General features: G+C 39.9%; 1 long non-coding RNA gene and 1 pseudogene across 1 annotated transcript in view; one reads left to right on the top strand and one right to left on the bottom strand.

Moving 5' to 3' along the window:
- FAM230C (family with sequence similarity 230 member C) overlaps positions 1 to 22,344 on the bottom strand; it is a 36,720-nt gene that overhangs the window by 8,517 nt on the left and 5,859 nt on the right. Inside the window, exons 2-4 of the long non-coding RNA NR_027278.1 lie at positions 4,443 to 4,501; positions 3,950 to 3,974; positions 919 to 1,005 (exon numbers count right to left, since the gene is read on the bottom strand). This is a non-coding gene — a long non-coding RNA (family with sequence similarity 230 member C). The remainder of the gene's footprint in view (positions 1 to 918; positions 1,006 to 3,949; positions 3,975 to 4,442; positions 4,502 to 22,344) is intronic.
- Positions 16,032 to 17,079, top strand: EIF3FP2 (eukaryotic translation initiation factor 3 subunit F pseudogene 2; annotated as a pseudogene).

The following is a 22,344-nucleotide window of genomic DNA, read 5'->3' as shown; positions in this document are numbered from 1 at the left end:
ATTTTCTTTATGAGACCATAAGGGTGAACATAATGTTTTAAATATTTCAAAATTCATATATATGTATAACAGAAAGAATGAACATTATGCAAATGTAGACTTTAGATAATAATGTATCAATATTTTCTCATTATTCTAGCAAATGTACCACAGTAATGTAAGATGTTACTAATAGGTGAAATTAGGAAGTGAGGATGAGGAGACAGAATAATATGGGAACTTCGTGTATTATATACTCAATTTTTATTTATTTATTTATTTATTTATTTATTTATTTATTTTGAGATGGAGTTTCACTCTTGTCACCCAGGCTGGAGTGCAATGGCATGATCTTGGCTCACTGCAACCTCTGCCTCCCGGGTTCAAGCGATTCTCCTGCCTCAGCCTCCTGAGTAGCTGGGATTACAGGCGCCTGCCACCATACCGGGCTAATTTTTTTGTATTTTTAGTAGAGATGGGGTTTCACCATGTTGGCCAGGCTGGTCTCCAACTCCTGACCTCAGATGATCCGCCTGCCTTGGCCTCCTAAAGTGCTGGGTTTATAAGCGTGAGCCACCACGCCTGGCCATATGCTCAGTTTTTATGTCAATTTAAAACTCTCTAAAGAAATATATTAATTGAAAAATAATAATATAGCACCACTCTTTCAGGGAGATCTATGCTTATGTTTAACAACCAGGTAAGTTCTAGACATTAGCTTGAAACATTGTCTATCATTAAACATGAACCACAATTGACTTTTAAGTAGATATTTACTTTTGTGGTTGTAGCAATATTTACTGACCAGGCAAATTAGAATCCTGACACATTAAAAAATATGGCTTAGTCTCTTCATAGTTTCCTCTTACATATGGGACACTGAATACTCCCCGCAATTGCAATTCTTGAAGCAACTTAATTAATGAACTTCCACAGTACCTTCTTGTGGGTACATCTTCTTCTTTACCGGGGAGCCATGAGGTCTCCGACACTGGTTGGTGTGCACAGCATATCTTCTTGTATTCTCTATCAGAGAAGATGCTGGTTAACGCATTTACAATAGATAGGGCTGTTGACATCTTGCTGACTGAAGACCAGAGGGAAAACAGTGATAATCTGTTCTAAGTTTAAACTTATGATGTTTTTCTTTACAGGCTTCCAAGCAGAGCCCACTGAATCAAAGTTGGGTTTCAGGAAGATCACGGAGTTCAGTGAGCACTCAACACCTCTATCAGACAGACTGTGTGGGCAGTGCCTTCCTGGAGAGGAGAACACAGCAGGATGACTGTGAGTGCAGGGCTGGTGCAGAGTGGGGGCCCGGATTCAAATTCCACTAAGCCATGTGGACCTAGAAATCTCATGTCCTCCCTCTGCCCTCAGTTCTCTGCACTGTCATAATGTAATTTTAGCAATACTTTTTAGGCCCTATTTAGGCCCTACTTCTTAGTATCACAGTACGGGGCTAAAAAATCACTAAATACAGGAAAACCTTAGAGAGGACTGGTACTTCAGTAATGTTCTCTAAGTGTTTACTACATGCCAGGAGGAATAAGCTGGACACTTAGCAGTGGTGGAATATGGAGGGGGAACTTGGATGGCTCCGGGGCAGTGGAGCATGCTTTCCTGTTCAGCTTTTCCGTGGGCATGATGCCTTATGGTTTATGGAGAACATCAGCCCTGCAGGGGGTGCAGAGGAGGGGCTGTGGCTGAGATTTTACACTTGAGGGTGCTGACATTCAGAGATGATAAGTGACGAGCAGAACCTCAACCCCGCTGAGTGAAGGACCTGAGATGGGAAATGTATTTGGTTCCCTAGAGAGAGAGTTTCCTGAAAAACTGCCACCTCTTCATCACGCCCTGTGCCAGAGACCCAAGAGGCCCTTCACTGTCTTTCCCCAGTCCTCCTAGCCCAAGGTGTGTGGGTGGACAAAGGTGATGCTCTGGAGGAAATGCCTGAGATAAGGACAGGTCCTTAATGATAAAGAATTCTCCTTCCTCTTTCAGATCCTTGACTTCCCCAGTATGACAGCTTAAAGGCTGTCATCTCTGTGGCCTGCCTCCCCTTTCCCTTCACCCTGCCAGCTGCCTCTCAGTGACTGTCTCCTCCAGTGACTACACTGAGGGACCAGGGACTGCTTGCCTCCCGAGGCTGCTCAGACCTTCTGACACTGCAAAATGATTGTCAAAAGATGGGTCTGCAAAGAGTAACTTCGCTTCCAATGATCAAACCTGAATATGCAAGCTACTGTGAATTAACTGGAAAAGTGGCCATGTGGGCTGGTGCTTTGGTGATTTAATGAATTAAGTCTGCAACCCCCACTGCCTCCTTGACTATTGATCAGAGCTACCTGCAATAAGGTCTGGCTAAGAATGGGCAGTGGTTGCACCAGCTCTGGGTAAAATTTGACCTAAAATGACCAGTCTCATTCACTAACCTCAACATAGTCTTATGGGTTCAATGGACCTGTCCAATCCTTTGCTCTGTTCTCTCCATCACCTTCCTGTGTAATTTTCCTCCACCACACACATAATAGAAACATGGCACAGGGTAGCTAATCACCTCTTTTATCCCCCACTTCAGGCTCACACATAAGTTTATAGTAAAAGCCTTTTCAAATGACTGCTTTAACTGCTGCTACAGCATGTGTCATCAGTTGAATGGAATCTGTCATGTGACTTTAAGCAACCCTTTGTTGAGAGACAAGATTCAATACTAGGGACAGTATTCTAGTGTACTACATCATTGATTTTATGTTATGAAGATCATCATTTATTGAAAATGTATAAACAAAGCGCAGCCTTACTCTTTAATGCTGTGTGTGTAAATCCACTGAGTGTGCTGACCCCCACGCTTGTACCCACCTGCTAACACAGAAAGGGTCCACTCAGAAGGGAGGCACAGCTCCAGCACTGAGGCTGTCCACACCAGCTTCACAAGAGGGTTGCCACAAGGACGACAGATACCCGGATAACAACCAAATGGTAATTTGAGTACTTAATGGTCATGATCCCTAATGTGTGTAGCTCAGAGGGCTTGTGGTGATAACTCCATCAAGACTCTAAAGCGTCTCCCCAATTCTTACTGGACTTGATCCATGTCTTGAGGAGACCCAGCTATGACACGCAGGCACCACGTTGTCCTACTTAGTGCCTCCCTTAGTGTTTCAGAACCTGTGATTTGATCAGAAACATGGGCTTTCTATGTTGGTTTCACACAAAGGACTATGTGACACCTGCAGGAAGGTGTCTACATAGCTACCTGGATTATGAGATCATGAGGCTCTCTTATGTGAGGGGTGGCGTTTGGGATCTCTGCAGGCGTGGGTAATTCCAGGCATAGAGGGTGCTGGAACTCCCTTGCATGGTGAATAGTGATCTCTTCACTGGCTGATAAATAGAGGTTGTAGTTCAGGCCTTCAACATTAGCACCATATGAGTAAACATTTTGACTCTTCACTATGCAGCAAGTGAACCAGGGCACATTTATTTATGTGGCTTAGTTTCTCCATCTGGCATGTGGGCTCAATAAACAAGCTCACAACATATGGGCATGATGATGATGAGGTGTGAACTAATGTAAGTAAAGTATGTGGTCTGACTTGTTAAATTAAGAAAAATGGCACTGAGAGTTGTGCTGGGTAAACACAACATTTTTTTCCTAGGGAAAACACACATAGACACACATTCACAAGCAAATCATGCAGACTTGCACACAGACCACCTCACCCCACCCCCGCCCTAATACACACATAACCACACACAACCTAATGTGAACACGTTCCCAGAAACTATAAATAGATAAAAAGAGTATGTCACCTGGAAAACCAGTTTCTTTTACTATACCCCACATCCTCATTCCCACAAGATATCTTGGATCATGGAGGCTCTCCAGACAAAAGCCAGCAGTTAAGCTCCAGATTTCCTGTAGAATCCTTTTCTAACAACCAGTGAGTGATTCCAGAATACGTACCATTGAATGTGCTCCCTGAAGTCACCTGTAATTAGAGAAGGAAAACACTCTGAGAATCAGGCTATGCTATGGATGGCTCACACAGGTCTTTTGTTCACTTGGAAACTCTGGGTAACCAAGATTGGAAATAAGGTTCAAGTCAAAAGCCCCAACTCTAGAGTAGAGTTCCCTTAGGAAAGCACAGGAGCTTTTCTTGAAGAATGTTTCTGTCTAGGTAATTTTTGAGTAGCAATTGAAGAATTCTTATCTAAAGTGGAAAGCTTGTTCCTGAAGAAAACATCCCTTAACACGCAGTGTATTATCTGACACTGCCAATTTTGCACGTCCTCTGGAATCAGGTGTCAGTTGGTAAAATACACCTCCTCCATCCCCAAGGAAATATTATCTAACATCTATAATGTAGTGGATAATTTTCCCATAGCTGATATCAACCGAAAAATAAAGGATCCAAGAAAACAACATTTACATCTTAGGCAAAGACAGGCTGCTTTACCTTGGTAGTAGAGTAGGGCTCCCTTTTCACACGCTTTTTGGAAGAATTCTTCGAGTCACCTAGGGGATGTGGAGGGACACAGCATGGCTGTCAGTTCATTGGCAGTGCTACTCATGAATGACTCAGGGACTGGAACTTAGGGGTGTGCCTGGTTAACAAGCATGGAATGAGCTTCTCCTGGACCATCTTCTTCACGGACCAAGGAAGGCAAAGAAACAGGAGCAAGGAAATGAGAGTAGAGCCCTTGGCTTTCCAGGTAATGGCAAATGAAAGCAACGTGAAATAATCAAACTCCAAATGAACAAATGCTAAAATACATGCTAGGATTCAACCACAGCATCCTGTCACTTCTTCAGACCCTTTAAAAGCCCAGCAAGACTGCCACTACCTTCTTGACATCTACCAAGTCCCTTTCAACCTCCACAGACCCACATACACTGCTACTGCATTTATCATGGAGGGTATAGGGTTCTGCCTTGTTTATGTGTGAATTTTTTAAAAACTAGATTTAATACCATGCACCAGCATTAATTGTACTTATTTCTTTTCTTGGTTATGAAAATAGTCAGGCATAGTGGCTCACACCTGTAATCCCAGCAGTTTGGAAGGTGGAGGTGGGCGGATCATTTGAGGTCAGGAGTTCGAGACCAGCCTGACCAACATGGTAAAACCCCATCTCAACTAAAAAAAAAAAAAAAAAAAAAAAAAAAAAAACCCAGCTACTCAGGAGGCTGAGGCAGGAGAATCCCTTGAACCTGGAGGCAGAGATTGCAGTGAGCTGAGATTGCACCACTGCACTCCAGCCTGGGTGACAGAGACTTCATCTCAAAAAAATAAAAAATAAAAAATCAGGCCAGGTGTGGTGGCTCACGCCTGTAATCCCAGCACTTTGGGAGGCTGAGGTGGGTGGATCATGAGGACAGAAGATTGAGACCATCCTGGCTAACAGAATGAAACCCCATCTCTACTAAAAACACAAAAACTTTGCCAGGCGTGGTGGCACGTGCCTGTAGTCCCAGCTACTTGGGAGGCTGAGGCAGGAGAATCGCTTGAACACAGGAGGCAGAGGTTGCAGTGAGCTGAGATCATGCCACTGCACTCCAGCCTGGGCAAGACTCTGTCTCAAAAAAAAAAAAACCTCCCCTAAAAATAATAATTAAAGATTAGAAAATACTGAAATACTTATATTTTAAAATAACCACTATAACCATACATTTTCCGTTCAGTCTTCCTTTGCCCTGTGTTTGCAGTCATCGTGTGAGGGGCTGCCCATGTTCAGCCCAGGCAACCCACAGCGAGAGAGGGCAGAGCAGGGAGATGGGCCCTGGTGAGCACTGAGGCTCTTGAAACCAGCTGCCAAGGGAGTTGCAAGCAGGGTGACACATGAGGCTCATTATTTAGTGGTATTTTGTGTTCTTGTCTTGTCCCCAGGTTGTGTAGCTCACAGACTTTTTTTTTTTTTAACATTTCTATAGGGGTCATTTGAAGTTCATAACACCATCAAACATCAGTACAGGGTCTTCCCATTATTTACCGGCTTTGGGATATGTGCTGAGGAGTGGCCGCGCACTGAAGGAATGTGACCGGTTGTCCCAAGTGTTCCTCCAACTCAAAATCCGCAACCAGTTCAAAAGCATTTGGGCTTTTATGAGCCTTTCACATAAAGACTATGACACCGCTAAGCTATTCATGTACTAATACCTGCCCTGAGCTGTGTGACCACAGACACCACCCTATAATGTGGCCAGTGTGTAGGAACTCTACAGGCTCAGATCATTCCAGACATACATGCAGATGTTGGGACTCCCTTGCACAGTGACTCATGATCCCAAGGCTGAGTGCTGAGGGCAGGTCAGTAGTTCAGAGCCTCAGCATTGGGGCTGTATGCTTGGGTTCCCATCTTGGCTCTTTTGCTGAGGGGCTAATAAGCTTGGGCACATTCATCTCTGTCTTTTTCTGCCCAGTAAAAGGTGATAGTAAATCAATCATGCCATTTGTCTGTGGTGATGGCCGAATGATTTGATGTAGGTAAAGTGTACAGTATAAGTGCTCATGAGGCTTAATTATCAGGGAAATGTCTTGCTTTAGATTTCACAGCTTAATAAGGCTCAGAGGCTTATTCACGCCCAGGATTCTGAACTCCCAAGTCATTGTTCTATGACATGCACCTGCTTGGCCTAAAACCAACCACTTTATCATAATGCAGACCCAGTTTTGAAAGAAGCAGATAAAGTTGTCAAAAGTACTGTGTCTGCCTCAGCGCACACACAGTGCGCTCCACACAAAGGGCATCACCATCTGCCACAATGGCCCAGTGGCCTGGCTGGTGCAGACAGTGGCAGAGCAAAGGGCAAGAGATCCCTAATCCCATCACCATGGTCGATAGGGCATCATAGACATTCCAGGGTGAAGGCACAATCCACGTTGTGAGGTCCAACTGCTGCCATGTAGACAGGTGTGTTTTTACATGTACAGGAAGATCATTGAAGATAAGTGTTTTTTATCCATGGTTAACAGATGAGATGACCATGAAATGAACACCAGTGTACTGGGTGGAGCAGCTTATCTATTCAGTCTTCTGCACTAAAACCTGTGAAACAATATCATCTTGCCTTATTTACTAACAAATACAAGTGCCTCTAAACTTAGACAGTTGCCAAGTCATGGAACTGATGAGCACTTAGCTCCTGCAGAGAGCTCTGGATGATGGGTCGGGAGAACAAAGTCACACAATACATCAAAACAGCATTAACAAGTAAACAGGATTTCAAAGCTCTCTACAGGCAAATTTACACAATTATCCTTTTAATTTTAATCTTCATATATATGTACATAATCTACTTGCTTCTGAGTATAAATAAAACTGTATGTTCTTAGTTAATAGTCTCTACCAATTAATTCTATTTATCTTTCTGAGTTGAAATACTGCATCTCATTGGATAACAAAAAAAAATTTGACTAAGATTACACTGGAAAGGTGAGTAGGTTGGGTGATTGACTGTGATTGACAATTCCATGATTTTGGATAACTCCAAAAGCATAAAAATAAATGTGAGTTTTATTTCACACGCAGACAATACACGTTCTTATTACTTTAAAAAATTAATATGTGAATGGAAATGACTTACTACAAATTTATTAAAGTAAATACACATTTCACAAAAAAAGAAGAGAGGAAGGGAAAAACATGTTAAAAACAAAGATAGGTACATTTTATGGTGTGAAAAGCCTCCAACCCATCCATACTACTGTGGCTTTGTTCCAAAGTTTTGGAAAGTAATGATTTCATAGGTTCTTAATTAGGTTAAAAACTGAATTAAAATAGACTTTGCCATATTCTCCCCTAGGGAATAATTAATCTGTGGGGTGGGGGATGGAACGTTGAAGGATGCAGGATGTAAAAGGAAATTATACATATATTATAAATATAATTATATATGTATAATATATATTATACAATATATATAATATATAAATAATATATTATATATATTATATATCTATATTATATATTATATAATTATATATACAATTATATATATAAAATACATATATATATATAATTTGGGAATTTGGGAATAAACTGAATCCCAATTCACACTGGGATTACAAAAGCTGCCACCATGCCTGGCTAATTATTTCTATTTTTAGTAGAGACAGGGTTTCAGTGTATTGGCCAGGATGGTCTTGATCTCCTCACCTTGTGATCCTCTTGCCATGGCCTCCCAAAGAGCTGGGATTACAGGCCTGAGAAAAGATACACATTTTTTAAATGAAGAAAAATTTCAAAGGTACTCTGCTTGGTACAATAATCAAATATACAAATTGAGGAATAAAACATAACCATGAAACATATTTATAACTGCATATGGAAAATACAGAGGATAAATTTTTAAATAAAATATTTTGAAAGACGTAACTAGTAATTTGAAAAGATCGCATTTGACAGGCCAGTATGAACATACCTTGAATGCAGTAACACAGGTTCCCCATAAGAAAAATAAAAATCAGGGAAAATGAAACTACAAGGTTCAATCTGCTCTGACCTTTGAAAAACTCAGCACAGACAGTGGCACTTAGGACCAAGGGCAGGAGATCCCTAATCCCATCACCATGGTGATAGGGCATAAACATTCCAGGGTGAAGGCACAATCCACATTGTGAGGTCCAACTGCTGCCATGCAGACAGGTGTGCTTTTACATGTACAGGAAGGTCATTGAAGGCTCAGTGTTTTGTTTCAAATATATATTATATATTATATATGAAATATATATGCTATATATTATATATAATATATATGATATATATATTAATTATATATTATATAATTATATATAATATAGAATATATATTATATATATTACATATATAATATATATAACATATTATATATAAAATATATATAACATATTATATATAATACTATATATTATATATGTCATATAATATAAAATATATGTCATCTTATATATTATATATATAATATAAAATATATGTCATCTTATATATTATATATATAATATTATATATAATATATATCATTTCCTTTTACATCCTGCATCCTCATGTTATATAGAATATAATAATACATAATATGTAATTATATATATCAGTATAATATATATAAATATATACATAATGTAATTACATATATATAATTATATATAATATAATATATAAAATATATTATAATATAATATATTATGTAATATATAATGTAAATAATCTATATTATATATGACATATAATATATATTATATGAAACTATATATGATATATATTATATAATATACATTATATATTACATATATAATATATAATATATATTATATGTAAATTATATATATCATGACATATATTATATATAATCTATATTTTATATATAATATATTATATGATATATAATATATATTATATGATATATAATATATATTATATGATATATAATATATAATATATTATATGATATATGATATATAATATATTATATGATATATGATATATAATATATTATATGATATATGATATATAATATATTATATGATATATGATATATAATATATTATATGATATATGATATATAATATATTATATGATATATGATATATAATATATTATATGATATATGATATATAATATATTATATGATATATGATATATAATATATTATATAACAATATATAAAATATTATATAACAATATATGAAAAATATTATGTATATATAATAAATATTATATACATATTTTTTTTGCAGACAGAGTCTTGTTCTGTGGCACAGGCTGGAGTGCAATGGCGCCATCTTGGCTCACTGCAAACTCTGCCTCACGGGTTCAAGTGATAGTCCTGCCTCAGCCTCCCAGGTAGCTGGGACTTCACCACACTGGGACTACACCAGCTGCCAACATGTCTGGCTAATTTTTTGTATTTTTAGTAGAGACAGGGTTTCACTGTATTGGCCAGGATGGTCTTGATCTCCTCACCTTGTGATCCTCTTGCCTTGGCCTCCCAAAATGCTGGGATTACAGGCCTTAGCCAAGATACATATTTTTTAAATGAAGAAAAATTTCAAAGGTGCTCTGCTTGGTACAATAACCAAATATATAAATTGAGGAATAAAACATGACCATGAAACATATTTATAATTGCATATGGAAAATACAGAGGATAATTTTTTAAATAACATATTTTGAAAGCATTAACTAGTAATTTGAAATGATCACATTTGACAGGCCAGTATGAACATGTCTTGAATGCAGCAACACAGGTTCCCCATAAGAAAAATAAAAATCAAGGAAAATGAAACCACAAAGGTTCAATTTGCTCTGACATTTGAAAAACTCAGCACAGACAGTGGCACTTAGGACCAAGGGCAGGAGATCCCTAATCCCATCACCTTGGCGATAGGGCATAAACATTCCAGGGTGAAGGCACAATACACATTGTGAGGTCCAACTGCTACCAGGCAGACAGGAGTGCTTTTACATGTACAGGAAGGTCATTGAAGGCTCAGTGTTTTGTTTCAAAAACTGAATCCGAAGCCCACACATTATTATGCTGTGCTAGTTAAAATAAGTTATGAGATGGGAAATAGGGCAACCCCATATATATATAAAATTACATACAATATAATATATATAACATATATAACACATATATAATTTCCTTTTACATCCTGAATGCTTATATTATATATAATATATTATATATAATAAATAATAATATATAATTATATGTAATATATATAATGATATAGATATAATTATTATAAATAATATATAAAATTATATATGTAATTATATAATTATATATAATTGTATATAATTATATATATTATTTACGATATATAATATATAATATATAATATATAGTATGACATAATATATATTACATATATTATATTATGACATATAATATATATTACATATATATGACATATAATATATATTACATATATTATGACATATTATATATATTATATATTACATATATATATAATTTTGTTTTAGAGTCTTGTTCTGTTGCACAGGCTGGAGTGCAATGGCGCCATCTTGGCTCAATGCAACCTCTGCCTCACGGGTTCAAGCGATAGTCCTGCCTCAGCCTCCCAGGTAGCTGGGACTACACCACACTGGGAGTACACCAGCTGCCACCATGACTGGCTAATTTTTTGTATTTTTAGTAGAGACAGGGTTTCACTGTATTGGCCAGGATGGTCTTGATCTTCTCACCTTGTGATCCTCTTGCCTTGGCCTCCCAAAGTGCTGGGATTACAGGCCTTAGCCAAGATACATATTTTTTAAATGAAGAAAAATTTCAAAGGTACTCTGCTTGGTACAATAATCAAACATATAAATTGAGGAATAAAACATAGCCATGAAACATATTTATAACTGCATATGGAAAATACAGAGGATAATTTTTTAAATAACATATTTTGAAAGCATTAACTAGTAATTTGAAGAGTTCGCATTTGACAGGCCAGTATGAACATACCTTGAATGCAGCAACACAGGTTCCCCATAAGAAAAATCAAAATCAGGGAAAATGAAACCACAAAGGTTCAATCTGCTCTGACCTTTGAAAAACTCATCACAGACAGTGGCACTTAGGACCAAGGGCAGGAGATCCCTAATCCCATCACCATGGCGATAGGGCATAAACATTCCAGGGTGAAGGCACAATCCACATTGTGAGGTCCAACTGCTGCCATGCAGACAGGTGTGCTTTTACATGTACAGGAAGGTCATTGAAGGCTCAGTGTTTTGTTTCAAAAACTGAATGCCAAGCCCACACATTATTTTGCTGTGGTTCTTAAAATAAGTTATGAGATGGGAAATAGGGCACCCCCAAATATAGCCAATAGTGAGAGTTTCAAATTGAAGAGTGGCACAACTGATACGTTGAGAATAAACAGAGATTCCATTCTGTTTTTTCTTTTTCAACTTTTATGTTAGATTCAGGGTGTACACGTGCAGGTTTTTTCCTGGGTGTATTGTGTGGTGCTGAGGTTTGGGGTGTGAATGATCCCAACCCCCAGGTACTGAACATGGTACTCAGCAGTTTTTCAACCTTTTCCTTCCTCCCTCCCCCTCCTAGCAGTCCCTAGTGTCTATTGTCACCATCTTCATATCCATGGGTACTCAGAATTTAGCTCCTACTTATAGGAACATGAGGCGTTTGTTTTCTTTTACTGCATTAGTTCACTTCCTGGATTCCAGCTCTATCCATTTTCCCTCATAGAACATAATTTTATTCTTTTTTGTGGCTGCATAGTATTCAATGGTCTGTATGTACCACATTTTTATCCAGTCCACTGTTGATGGGCACCTAGGTTGATCCCATGTCTTTGCTAATGTGAATAATGTTGCAATAAACATACAAGTGCATATGTCTTTTTGGTGGAATGATTTGTTTTCTTTTGGATACATATTCGGTAATGAGACTGCTGGGTTGAATGTTAGTTCTGTTTTATGATCTTTGAGAAATCTCCAAATTGCTTTCCACAGTGGCTGAACTAACTTACATTCCCACCAAAGGTGTATAAGCATTCCCTTTTCTCCTTATCCTTGCCAGTATCTGCTATTTTTTTTTTTTGACTTTTTAAAAATAGCCATTCTGACTGGTGTGAGATAATATCTCATTGTGGTTTTGATTTGCATTTCTCTCATGATTAGTGATGATGAGCATTTTTTTCATGGTTGTTGGCTGCATGTATGTCTCCTTCTGAGAAGTGTCTATGTCTTTTGCCCCTTTTTAAATGGGGTTGTGTTTTGCTTGTTGAATTATGTTCCTTATAGATTCTAAATATTAGACCTTTGTTGGATGCATAGTTTGTGAATAATTTCCCCCATTCTGTAGGTTGTTTACTCTGCTGATGGTTTCCTTTGCTGTGTGGCAGCTCTTTAGTTTAATTAGGTCCCATTTGTCAACTTTTGCTTTTGTTGCAATTTCTTTTGAAGACTTAGTCATGAATTATTTCCCATAGCCCATATCCAGAATGGTACTTTTGAAGTTTTTCTTCTTGGATTATTGTAGTTTGAGGTCTTAAATTTAAATCTTTAATCCAACCTGAGTTAATTTTTGTATATGGTGAAAAGGTGACCAGTTTTTTGTTTTTTTGTTTTTGTTTTTTGTTTGTTTGTTTGTTTTTTGAGAGGTAGTCTTCCTCTGTCACCAGGCTGTAGTGGAGTGGTGCCATCTCAGCTCACAGCAACCTCCACCTGCCGGGTTCAAGCGATTCTCCTGCCTCAGCTTCCTGAGTCCCTGGGATTACAGGCACGTGCCACCACACCCAGCTAATTTTTGTATTTTTAGTAGAGACAGGGTTTCACCATGTTGGTCAGGCTGGACTCGATCTTCTGACCTTGTGATCCTCCCACCTTGGCCTCCCAAAGTGCTGGGATCACAGTCATGAGCCACTGTGCCTGGCCAATAAGGTGCATTATTAACATCAATAAAGCTCAGGAACCAGCTTCCACCATATTTGTGTTTAATTTACAGTTTTTCTCAGAGTCTTTGGAATAGATTCCTCCCTCCATGAGCCAGAGAACTTACAATGTTCACTGCAGTGTCTTTAAATGTAGCAGTAGCAGCTGTGGGTTGAGAACACAAGTCTTCCACTTTTCCTTTTAGAGCCAGCCATTCACGGTGCTCTGTGTTCTTATTCAGCATTGGGTAGGGGCATCTGGGTGCTGGGCATAGCACCAGTGCCCCATGGAGGAGGGAGGCAGGAAGCCCCTTTCTTCCTTCTCTAAAACCTTTTTTCTTTATGTAGTTCCAAGTTTTTAGCCTATATCATTTTCTTCTCTCTGGATAACTTCTTTTAACATTTTGACAGATCTACTGACAGCAAATTTGTGTTTCTCTGAGAAAGTCTTTTTCTTCACTTTGGAAAGATAATTTTGCAGAATACAGAATTTTAGGTTGGTGGAATTTTCTTGCTTGCTTGCATGGGTTCTGAAGAAAAGTTTGATGCAATTTTTATTCTTATTCTAACATGTGTTAGGCCCTGCTAAAGCCCAAGGTGGTTAGACTCTTGTGAAATAGTTTCCCTGGGGCAGGCTTTTGCTAAGGAGAACGGAACACCCAGGGCGTATTTCAAAGTAGTTACTTTTCCCCTTCCCTGTGGGAAGCAGGAGGGAATTTTTCTCTGATGTGCATAAGAGCATCTGGCAGAGCTCTCGGAGGTTCATGAAAGTGTAGGGCCCCCTAAGACTGGGCTCCCTTAATTCTTAATTCCCAAGTTTATGTGCATGGAGCCTCCAGCGATTTGTTGTTTACATGTAAGTCTTCCCACCGTGGTTCTGGCTTCAGTGGCCAGCCTCCGATCCTGTTAGGCTGGGACTCACTGCCTCTCAAATTTGGGGGATAACGGTTTGCCCTGTTAACCTCAAGTCTCTGATGGATCTAAGAAAAGTTGTTAATTTTCAGTTTGTTCAAGGTGTTTTTTGTTGTTGTTGTGAGGACAGGAGTGACAGCTTCCAAGCTGGAAAACAGAAGTCACATTTGGGTTTTGTTTCAAGATATTTTTCCAATGACAGAGAATGATGCCACACACATTTCCATAGATGTCTTTTGATGCAGATGTGCATGCGTTTCTGTTATCCTAAGAGTGAAATACCTGAGTCCTAAATGTGCTCCTTTCTAGAACCTTTATTCAATGCCAAACACAGTGTCCCCTCCAGCAGTGATGAGAGTTCTTGTTGCTCCAGATTCTCTCCAACATTTGGTGTTCTATCTTTTACATTTTAGCCGTTTTGGAGGATATGTTATCCTGTTGTGATGTTAATTTGCATTTACATGAATATTAAGAAAGCTGAACACATTCAAGTTTTGCTTTTATAAATTACATGTTTAAGTGTTTTACCCATTGTTCTTTCTCTTAGTGATTTTTAAGAGCTCTTTACATATTGTTGATGTGAGCCCTCTGTCAGTTCTATGTGTTCATAGATCTGTTTCCACTCTGCAACTTGTCTTGTCACTTTCTTAGTGGTGTCTCTTAATAAACAGAAATTCTTAATTTGAATATAGTCTAATTTATCAATTTATTCCCTTAAAACTATGGCTTTTTGTGATCTGTTTAAGAAATCTGTCCCCATTCATGGTCATAAAAATCGGCTGGGCATGGTGGCTCACACCTGTAATCCCAGCACTTTGGGAGGTCAAGGTGGGCAGATCACCTGAGATCAGGAGTTTGAGACCAGCTGGCCAACATGGTGAAACCCTGTCTCTACTAAAAATACAAACATTAGCCAGGTGTGGTGGCAGGTGCCTGTAATCCCAGCTACTCGGGAGGCTGAGGCAGGAGAATCACTTGAGCCCAGGAGGTCAAGGCCGCAATGAGCAGTCATTGTACCACTGCATTCCAGCCTGGGTGACAGAGCAGGATGCTCTTTCAAAAATAAACATAAAAGTAAATCTAATGAGCTCTAGGATTTCTAATTTGAAGATAGAAGCAATAAACAAAATGAGAAACCAAAATACATTCGTTTTGATTAAAGCAGAAGTCAGCCATAACTCTGAACCTAAAAAGGAGGTCACCTGAAGCAGCTGTGAGTAAGCAGGGTAAGAAAGGAAGCGGAGAACCGATGCTCATTGCCAGATCTTAGGGAAAAAATAATAAATTAGGATGACATACTTTTGCAAAATTAAAGAAATCCCCTGAGTTGCTAATACAAAATTTCATTTGTGAAAGTCTAATAAAGAAATTCAGCTAGTAGTGGGATCTGTCATGGACTGAGTTTGATTCCAAGAACAGAAGAGGCAGGACCAGTGAGAAATAGCACAGACATATTTGCAAAAGCAGCCCTCCCACGTTAGGAAGAAGGGATACTTTTGCACAGTGAACAGCACTACAACTGCTCATCTCTTTCATGTACTATCACACATGGAATGACTGAGATAATCCTGTGTTTCACACATAGTCCTCCCTGCCCCTACTGAATAGAGAAACCCAATTTCACCTTGGCTATCTCTAGATCAATTACCTGTTAATAGGTCTGCTGTTTTCTTTACCGTTAGTTTCAAGAAGAACTAAATATCCCCAAATGGTATTTCAGCTTCCACTTAATGAAACCTGTCATCTAAAGCCAGACCCTGGCCTCAGCACAAGCTCCAGTGCAGACCCCAGCACCCACTCTGCCTGGTCCTGCTCTTCCAGGGCCCTTCCCTGGTGGCCGTGTGGTCAGGCTGCACCCAGTCCTTTTGGCCTCCACTGTGGACAGCTATGAGAGACGCAACAAGGGTGCTGCCCGAGTTATCGGGACCCTGTTGGGAACTGTCAACAAACACTCTGTGGAGGTCACCAATTGCTTTTCAGTGTCATACAATGAGTCAGATGAAGTGGTTGTTGACATGGAATTTGCTAAGAACATGTATGAACTGCATAAAAAAGTTTCTCCAAATGAGCTCATCTTGGGGTGGTACGCTGCCGGCCATGACATCACAGAGCACTCTGTGCTGATCCATGAGTACTACAGCCGAGAGGCCCCCAACCCCATCCACCTCACTGTGGACACAAGTCTCCAGAACGGCCATATGAGCATCAAAGCCTATGTCAGCACTTTAATGGGTGTCCCTGGGAGGACCGTGGGAGTGTTCACACCTTTGACAGTGAAATATGCATACTATGACACTGAATGCATCAGAGTTGACCTGATCATGAAGACCTGCTTTAGCCCCAACAGAGTGGTTGGACTCTCAAGTGACCTGCAGCAAGTAGGAGGGGCATCAGCTCACATCCAGGATGCCCTGAGCATAGTGTTGCAATATGCAGAGGATATACTATCTGCAAAGGTGTCAGCTGACAATACAATCAGGAAGGTGGGCCACTTCCTGATGAGCCTGGTTAACCAAGTACCGAAAATAGTTCCCGATGACTTTGAGACCATGCTCCACAGCAACATCAATGACCTGTTGATGGTGGCCTACCTGGCCAACCTCACACAGTCACAGATTGCCCTCAATGAAAAACGTGTAAACCTGTGAAGCCACCCCAAGCAGTACGCTTGCTGGTCTAAGTCTTAACCCCAGGACTCAGAAGTGAAGGAAAAATGGGTTTTTTGTGGTCTTGAGTCACACTGAGACAGTCAACTGTGTGTGACTCTAATAAACGTAGCCTACCTTTTGTAAATTAAAGAAAAAAAAAAGAAGTTAGTTTCCTCCCTGGGGAATCAATATCTCTAAATGAGGAGAACCCAAAGTTTCACAAAAGGGAAGAAAAAGTCTGCAAGTGCAAATTAGGCATAATAGTGCAGGGAGCCCCCTCCCCTTGACTTTCAGATTCATGTGTTTTTGTTGTAAGATAAATAACACTACATGGTGGTCACTGACTCTAAGTTTATACCACACACTGTAGGACAACATCCCAACCTCACTATGTGTTGTTTACCAGCTGGGAGCATTAACTGAGTTACATGATTCCATTCCATCATGTCAGATTCTTCTAGGTGATGGGGATTATGTTGTAAATCCAATGAATTGCACAAACATGAGCCTAATACCATATTTTTTTTTTTTGCAGTGAAATGAATTCCTTAGTCAAAAACAATTTTGTATGGGATATCATGATGGTGAATAACAAATTAAAGTTCACGCATGGTAGTACCAGCAGAACAACTGCGAATGTAAAGGGTGAGTTCGTACCCAGAATAAGTGTCTATTTCAGTGAGAACAAAATCCCTGAGGGATGGGTTTCAATGTCGTCAATCTGCAAGTTGACTGGGTAGCCCCTGAGGGAAGGCTGTCATATTAGCCTTAGTTGTTCTACATTGGTCCAGATACAATTTGATTATGTAAAGTCGTGAATACCTTCTATCCTTAATATTATGTGCATCTGTCCATGAGCCCATTGAACAAGTATCAGCTGACTAACATCTATTATATAACATGTCATTGTATGCATACGATTACTCCTCTTCAGTGGATTCCCTCTAATAAGAATTTACTTGGGCTACAAGTATTTTCATACTTCGTGTCTATTTTAAGAAGTCATCTTCGGCTGGGCTTGGTGGCTCACACCTGTAATCCCAGCACTTTGGAAGGCCAAGGTGGGCGGATCACGAGGTCAGGAGATCAAGAACATCGTGGCTAATACAGTGAAATCCAGTCTCGCCTAAAAAAATAAAAAATTAGCTGGGCCTGGTGGTGGGCACCTGTAGTCCCAGCTACTCAGGAGGCTGAGGCAGGAGAATGGCGTGAACCCAGAAGGTAGAGCTTGCGAGCTTGCAGTGAACTGAGATCGCGCCACTGCACTCCAGCCTGGGCGACAGAGTGAGACTCTGTCTTGAAAAAAAAAAAAATCCAACTATTCAAAAGTAAAGAAAAAAATATGTCAATCCACCATGTGTCCACTGCACACCATCACAAATTTTAAACCATGCATGAGCTCACATTTTGAATAGAAGGATCTTGGGGACGGGGACACTAAAAGCCCCAAATATGGTCCTGTGTGGCATAATGGTTTTTTGGTAAATGCTACACTGCATACAATGGTGGTCGCTTAAGATAACAGAGCTGAAAAATTCTTACCATCTAGTAACACTGTGGCCATGATGACATCATAGCACAACGCATTACTCATGTGTTTGCAGTGAGGCTGGTATAAGCAAACCCACTACATTTGTCAGTGGCATTAAAGGTTAGCACATCTAATTATGTACCATATGTCATACTTGGTAATGATAATAAATGATCATGTGACTAGTTTATGTACAGTTGCTCCTTGAACAGCATGGATTTGAAATGCACAAGTTCACTTATATGCAAATTTCCTTCTGCTTCTCCCACCCCTGAGACAACAGGATCAACTTCTCCTCTTCTCTTCCTCAGGCTGCTCAACATGAATATGCAGACGAAGACCTTTATGATGATCCACTTTCACTTAATGAATAGTAAACATATTTCCTCCTCCTTATGATTTTCTTAATAGAATTTTCTTTTCTCTTTCTTTAAGAATACAGTATATAATTAACAAAGTATGCATTAATTGTTTATTTGATCAGCAAAGCTTGCAGTTAAGAATAGGCTATTAGTAGTTAAGTTTGGGGATAGCCCAGAGTTATATATGGATTTTCAACTGCACAGGAGCTGGTCCCCTAACCCTTGCACTGTTCAAGGGTCAACAGTATTTACAATACTATACATTTTATTCATATTTTAGAGTGTAGTACTTCTACTCATGAAAAATAATTAACTATAAAACAGCGTCGGGAAGGTCTTTCAGGAGTTCTTCCAGAAGAAAGCCTTGTTATCATAGAAGATGACAGCTGCATATATGTTATTGCCCTTGAAGTCCCTGAAGACCTTTCACTGGGACAAGATTTGGAAATGGAAGACAGTGATATTGATTATCCTGACCCTTACAGGGCTAAGCTAGTGTGTGTGTTTGTATCTTAGTTTTTAACAAAAAAGTTTAAAACATAAAAAATAAAAATAAATAAAGCTTATCGAATAGGGATATAAAGTATTTCTGTACAGCTGTTCAATGTGTTTTTGTTTTAAGATGTGTTATAAGAATCAAAAAGTTAAAAAAATTAAAAGTTTATAAAGTTATGATAAGCTAAGATGAACTTGTTAAAGAAAGAAAAATTTTAAATACATTTAGTGTAGCCTAAGTGTACAGTGCATATAAAGTCTATAGTTATGTACAGTAATATCCTAGGCCTTTGCATTCACTCACCAAGTACTCACTGACTCATCAGAGCAACTGCCAGTCCTGCAACCTCTGTTCATGCTAGGTGTCCTATACTGGTGTACCACTCTCTTTAACTTTTGTAATATATATATATTTTTTTCTTTCTTTCTTTTTTTTTGAGAAGGAGTTTTATTTTGTTGCCCAGGCTGGAGTGCAATGGCACGATCTTGGCTCACTGCAACCTCTGCCTCTGGGGTTCAAGTGATTCTCCTGCCTCAGCCTAATGAGTAGCTGGGATTACAGGCCCATGCCAGCACACCCAGCTAATTTTGTATTTTTAGTACAGATGGCGTTTCTCCATGTTGGTCAGGCTGGTCTCGAACTTCTGACCTCAGGTGATCCGCCCGCCTCGGTCTCCCAATGTACTATGTTTTTACTGTATCTTTTCCATGTTTAGATATTACTATTGTGATATAACTGCCTACAGCAGTGGTCCCCAAAGTTTTGACACCAAGGACTGGTTTTGTGAAAGATAATTTTTCCATGGAGTGGGGATGGCTTTGGGCTGAAACTGTTCCACTTCAGATCATCAGATCATCAGGCATTAGATTCTATTTTTTCTTTTTTTTTTTTTTAGACTGAGTCTCCCACTGTCGCCAGGCTGGAGTGCAGTGGCACAATCTCGGCTCACTGCAACCTCTGCCTCCTGGGTTCAAGTGATTCTCCTGCCTCAGCCCCCCGAGTAGCTGGGACTACAGGCATGCGCCACCACACCCAGCTAATTTTTGTATTCTTAGTAGAGACGGGGTTTGCATGTTGGCCAGGAGTGTCTTGACCTTGTGATCCACCTGCCTCGGCCTCCCAGAGTGTTGGGATTACAGGCGTGAGCCACAGCACCCAGCCTAGTTAGATTCTTATAAGGAGCACACAACCTAGATCCCTTGTATGTGCAGTTCACAATAGGGTTTGCGCTCCTGTGAAGGTCTAATGCTGCTGCTGATCTGACAGGAGGTGGAGCTCAGGAAGTAATGCTCGGCTGGCCAGCCACTCATCTCCTGCTTTGTGCCCAGTTCCTAACAGGACACGAACCGGTGCTGGTCCATGGCTTGGGTGTTGGGGACTACTGGCCTACTGTATTCAGCACAGTGACGTGCTGCACAGGTGTGTAGCCCAGGAGCAATAGGCTGTACGATATAGCCTAGGTATGTAGTAGGCTACACTGTCTAGGTTTGTATAAACTACATTCTATGGTGTCCGCACAGCCACAAAATCACGTAATGATGCATTTCTTGGAATATATTACCATTAAATGAGATTTACCTGTATTAGTGTCATCTCAGGTTTATTGTCTAGTAATTTTAAAAGTATTTGTATATTCTTTCCCAGACACATCATCATACTCCGGTGCATATCTCTATTTTATTCCCTAGACCCATTCTTAATTTTTCTACGTTCTGCTTTGTTCCTTAGGAGGCTCACCTGAATTGGATACTGCAGAGATCTCCCTTACCCTCATGCTTTTATTGGGGTTCAGCTAATGGAGGGGGTGGCAGAAGACAGGTGAGAGAAGAGTGTGTTTATCCCCCACCTCTGCCCCTGCAGGGTCAGCACAGGCAGACTGTGTCCCTTTGCTGAAGATCACAGCTTCTGTCTGGTGCCTTCTTGGCAAGCTGGCACTCTCTCTAGTCAGGTGACTGCTTGGCCCCTTACTACTTACACTCTTCTGTCTGGTTTCTTTGTGTCTTTCCTGCTGTGCTGTAAGTAGTCCCTTTATTAGAATCCATCCACATTACCCAGTTATATAAAGACAAATAGTTGGTCACTGATCTAGTTCACTCCCTGAGAATCAGCCTTCATCAAAGATCCCTAACAGTCAGATATTCTGTTGGCCGCTCCATTCCTGCTCCCCATTATTCTAGTTGTGTCTTCCTTGTCTCTAGTGCAATCACAAAGCATAAGCGCCTCCACTGTCACTTGTTCTTTGCAACTCTAGGATCACATCATTCCCCTTGAAATCAGAGAACCCACAATCTCCCCAAGCCCACAAAATTCAGCCGTCACAGTACTTTTCAATCATGCCAGCAGCCCTCCCCAACAAACGAATCCTTAATTTCTTAGAGAAACATCTTCTGGGGCTTCCTGTGGGACACAGTGGGGGTCGGCTTGGCATGTGGATCACACCTGATATTTTTACCCCCACCTCCTACTATTCCTATTCCTTTGTATGCACCTCTCTTTATTATGCTAGGAAAGCTCTGGCAACACAACCTCAAAATAAGCAGGCCAGTGTGGATTCACAGTTTCTGTCAGACAAACTTGAGCACCCCTTCTAACTTCTTGGGCTAAGACTTTAACTTCAGAATCTCTATGTATCCATGTTGATAAACTTAGCCTATGTCAAGATTATATTCTGCATGCCTTAGTCAAACACCATGTAAATCTATGCCTCATATATTCTCTAGGCTTTAGCTGATAGGGATTAGCAAAGTAGTGTGGTTGTTTTGGTCTTTAAACAATGTCCATTTTCTACCAGCTTTCCATTGCACTCTTTTTTTTTTTTTTTGAGATGGAGTCTTGCTCTGTTGCCCAGGCTGGAGTGCAGTGGCGCAATCTCGGCTCACTGCAAGCTCTGCCTCCTAGGTTCACGCCATTCTCCTGCCTCGGCCTCCCGAGTAGCTGGGACTACAGGCGTGTGCCGCCACGCACGGCTAATTTTTTGTATTTTTAGTAGAGACGGGGTCTCACTGTGTTAGCCAGGATGGTCTCG

This window comes from Homo sapiens, chromosome 13 (genome assembly GCF_000001405.40).
Source record: "Homo sapiens chromosome 13, GRCh38.p14 Primary Assembly".
NCBI classification, from domain to species: Eukaryota; Metazoa; Chordata; class Mammalia; order Primates; family Hominidae; genus Homo; species Homo sapiens.
Note: the sequence above shows the minus strand (reverse complement) of the source record. Positions and strands in the feature narration are given on the sequence as shown.